This window comes from Homo sapiens, chromosome 8 (genome assembly GCF_000001405.40).
Source record: "Homo sapiens chromosome 8, GRCh38.p14 Primary Assembly".
Classification (NCBI taxonomy): Eukaryota; Metazoa; Chordata; class Mammalia; order Primates; family Hominidae; genus Homo; species Homo sapiens.
In genome coordinates this window covers 75892574-75896985 of record NC_000008.11, presented here as the reverse complement: position 1 = coordinate 75896985, position 4412 = coordinate 75892574, and the positions used below count along the sequence as shown (strand labels likewise).

General features: G+C 33.5%; 1 non-coding gene across 1 annotated transcript; it reads left to right on the top strand.

Annotated features, from left to right (window-relative positions):
* Nucleotides 1-4081: 4081 nt before the first annotated feature.
* LOC124902089 (small nucleolar RNA U13) lies at nucleotides 4082-4186 on the top strand. The gene has a single exon (XR_007061219.1). It is a non-coding gene; the product is annotated as a small nucleolar RNA U13 (small nucleolar RNA).
* Nucleotides 4187-4412: the final 226 nt, after the last annotated feature.

Genomic DNA, 4412 nt, shown 5'->3' with positions numbered 1-4412 from the left:
TTTTTTTAGTTAGAAAAGTGTAGTCTTATGTATTTATAAGGGGATCCTATTATTTCGGGGATCTATATTTGCAACCATAGATGATTCTGAGAATTTAGCTTTTGCCACCTTTATTTATTCCTGGGACACCAATGTACATAAAAGAGATCACCGACATTTTTTTCCTACCATTGTTTGGCTAAGGAATTAAATGTGAAGTGTCTTTTCTTAGGAATATCTGCTTTGCTACTTTAAATGCTCATACTTGAAACACCCATGCATTCCTGCTTGTAAATGGCCATGTGGAGAGACCCTGACACCACATGGAGAAGAAAAAAACCCAGATGAGCTCAGCCTTCCCATAGTCTTTGCCAAAACACAAAGTATATGAGGGCAGCCCTTTTTGACCCTCAGGCTAGTCTTAGTTAAGAACTGAATACCACTGATTGATCCATGTTGATGCCTCATGAAATAGAATACTCTCCCAGTCCAATCCTATCTAAATCTCTAATGCCCAGACTGTGAGCATAATAAGATGACTGATTTTTTTTAAGCCAATAAATTTTGTGTTAGTTTCTTATGCAGCAACAGGTAACTGGGAAACTACCTTTCAGACTGTATGAAAACATTTATTATACAAAATACAGTTTCCATGCATTTACAAATAACTTATTCTTTAAATAGTTCATTATTTATTCAATAACAAATTATAAGTTGTTAGCTTCTTTTTCTGTGTTCTCTTAAGTTTTTTTTACAGTCTTCCATCATAGTTCTTTTTTTTTTTTGGAATACATTTTAACTGTTACTTTATGTGTCTTGCTTCTTTCTTTAGACTACATGTGGGTCTAAGATCATGTGTATTTCTTTAGTAAAATAACATGAGGTTAAGCAAATACACTTTTGCTCAGACAGTCTGGGCTCCTGGTCTGTGTAACTTAACCTCAAAAAAATTCTCAGCCTCTTGATGTGTAACATGGAGGAATGAATAATATTTAATCAAGAAACTTTTAAAGATTAATCAGGATTAAGTATAGAAAGTTCTTAAAATATTTTAGCTTACCAAATTTCCTGCTCCTAAATTTTATTTCTTGTCAAGATAAAGTAACAGTTAACTCATTTCCCCTCCCACCTAAAATAATAAAAAAAGAGATAATATATATGAAGCAACAGTTTTCAGGACGCTGAACATCAAACAACAAAGAACAGTAATCTTCAAAAGACAGGAGAGAAGTCAAGTGATGCTAGGAGTGCTCTACCTTACCCTGAGGGTTTCCTTGCTGTGACAGAAAGAAGGGGAACACAGGTGGAGTCTGATGGCCCATGAATTGAGGAGCTGGAGCTGAGACAGATCAAGGAGTTGAGTGTTCATAGGAGAAAGTACTGGAGATGAGAGCACCTCACACAGAGAGAATTTTGGATATCTCAGGGGGCCCCTTTCTAGTATTCAATGGAGTACTGCTCAACACAAGCATGTGAAGGGGCTACCTCATGCCCAGGGAAAAAAGAGTTCAAAGGATTGCAAGTGAACAGGACATAGAACTCACCTAGGCCCAGAAATAGTCCTGTTTGCATCAACCAGACTGGAAAACTTTATGACTTAAGGAGCACTGAGTAGAATACGTAGAAGAGTCTTGCCTAGTAGTGGAGAATAATTATCCCTGGAATGGGCACCGCTCCAGTCCCACCTAACACATCTTGAAAACAAGATGTGAGAGAATTAAATCATTTCTAAGTTACCTATCCACATCCAATGAACACAACTCAAGAATATTTATAGATTCACAAAAATGTCCAGAACTCACATAGGTAAAATTTACCATGTTTGGCATTTAATAAAAATTATTAAGTTTTCAAGAAGCAAGAATATATGTCCTATAATGAAGAGAAAAATATACAGTTAAGTTAAACTAATATAGATGTTAGAATTATCAGAAGATATTAATGAAGTTATTATAGTTGAATTACACATGTTCAAAATATTAAGTAGAGATATATGATATATATCAATCAGTCTTCTTCATGAAAACTAAGATGGGGGAGATGATTAAAAAAATGCACTGGACAGAATCAACAGTAGATTAGATAGAAGAGATTACACTTTTGTAATTAATTAATATGCTTCACACATCTACTGAAAAATAATTAAAAAATAGCTATATAGAATATAAACTTAGAGTTAAATAGAAAAGAATAGGGAAGAGAAATAACATTTTTTGTAGTTGTATACTGTCCTAGGTACCTTGCACACATTATCTCATTTTATTCTTACAATATAATAATTCTTATAACAAAAACAACCTCATTTGATTCTCACAATAATATTATCCATGTTTTTAAAATAAGAAAACTGAAGTTCAGAGAACTTCAGAGACTTTTCCAATATTATACTGCTTGAGATGATAAAAGCCAACATTTGAGTATTCTGGTTTTTAAAACCAGAATTATTTTGGTTTGTTTCTCTGCTCTCCTGAACTATTTCCTAGAAAAAAAATATTCCATTTCCCACTATTCTATCCACATTCCTATCAACAGGAAAGAGGATGATAGGCAGGGAGGCACACATCTAGTTCAGGGCAAGACTGTGAAATTTGTTCACCTAAATACTGCTTATTTTCTATTGGACAAAAATCTAGTCATATGCCCGCATCTATTCAAATAGGATGCTAGGAAATGTATTCTTTAACTGGGTACCAAATCAGTAATTGGCTGTTCTTACAGGCCCCGCCACAGCTTGCTCTAAATGCTGCAGTAGAGCTATTCAATTCAGTAAGCTGATCCCCAGAGTTCATTGATCCCCACAGTAAGAAACAAACTAATAACAACACAAACAAAAGAAGAAGGAAGGGGAAGAGGAGGAGGAAAGAGGAGAAAGGAGGAGGAGCAGGAAGAGAAGACGGCAAGAAGAGAAAGAAGTAGTTGTTTTTCCCCATAGTCAATGACAAAAACTCATTTGTAAAATTCAAAAATACTTAACACATGGTTCTCCTTAGCCAATAGATCTGTGGCATTGTACAGAGAAGAGCCAAAGAAAATACCTCCTTTTGGAGCAAGCAAAAACAGAAATAGTGCCTGAAGGAAGTAAGTAACCACTATTGTCATGGCCACTTACAAATCAGATACATTGTGGCTTGTAGTCTACACTTTGTTAAATGTCACGAAAAAAGTCATTGCAAAGATTAGTTTACTTTGGTAATGTTAAACTTTTAAATATTTCATCTCCAGAAGATGAAATTTAAAACAGTGGTATCATACGAAAAGATAATTCCTGAAGTATTTTAACCAATTCATTAAATAACAAGGAAATAGAATCACCATAAAAGTAGACCCTAAGTAAATATTATATTTTGAAATAATCCTGTTTTTAAAAAGTATCACTTGAATAATCATTTTCCAAGTTAGAATGTAATACATTTCAATGAGAAAAAATTAGACAAATGTTTGAGAACCTCTGTGAGATTTCTTGACTGGGTAAATATCACATACAATTTGTATAATTATTTAAAGATGGCCAAAAGGGACAAAATAATGTTGAGGTGTAATGTGATTCGATTAATAGTTCTTTTTTTAAGTACAAAAGTGAGACATATTAGACAAAGGAAAAACGATTGGAGGCAACCAAAACCAGGACTCAGAAGATAACATCATTTTTCTCTGGTTTCTATTCTGTCTGAACAGAGCTTTGAGTTTCAATCTTCCCCAATACTATATCTCATCCTTTACCACTATCTTTCTCTCTTAAAGCTATTGAGGAGAGAGTCAGGGGGATGATAAGGAATGGAAGATGGCTGAAAGAAATGGTTAATAGGATTCTAAAATCTTCTATAGTTAAAAAGAAGTTACTATAGGGGTGCCCTCTATATTGTAAAGTATGTGAACTTAGCTATACCCCAGAAAATTTATCCCATGTTCTCAAAAATCTTTGTTTCATTTTTCCGTTAGTTATAATTTCAGATAATTTCTTCCTTTTGTTCATATGGTGTTTTCCATTTTATCTTAAATCCTATGCCATATAAATAAAATAACTGCAATTTTGTCTCTATCTATCTATCTATCTATCTATCCATCTATCAATCATCTATATTTAGTTGAAAATGTATAAGGAATCCTCTTGCAGTTCATAAGCATGATGATTGGGTTTTCACACTCCTGTGTGAAATGTACCTTCCTCAAACCTTTTTATAACATCAGCACATTACCGAACATGAAAAAAAAATGTATACCGAAGCAACTTATACCATAAAGAATAAGTAGCTTAGAAAGATATTTTTCTCAGGTTCAGCTAAGACATAATGTGTCTTTCTGGCTAACAAAACACTATGATTTCAAGTATTTTTCATTTTTCATTTATTGTTCCCAAAATATAAATGGATATGGCTCAAATATAAATCAAAAGCATAAGATTAGATTCATGGGCTTACAATAAGGTCCTTAAT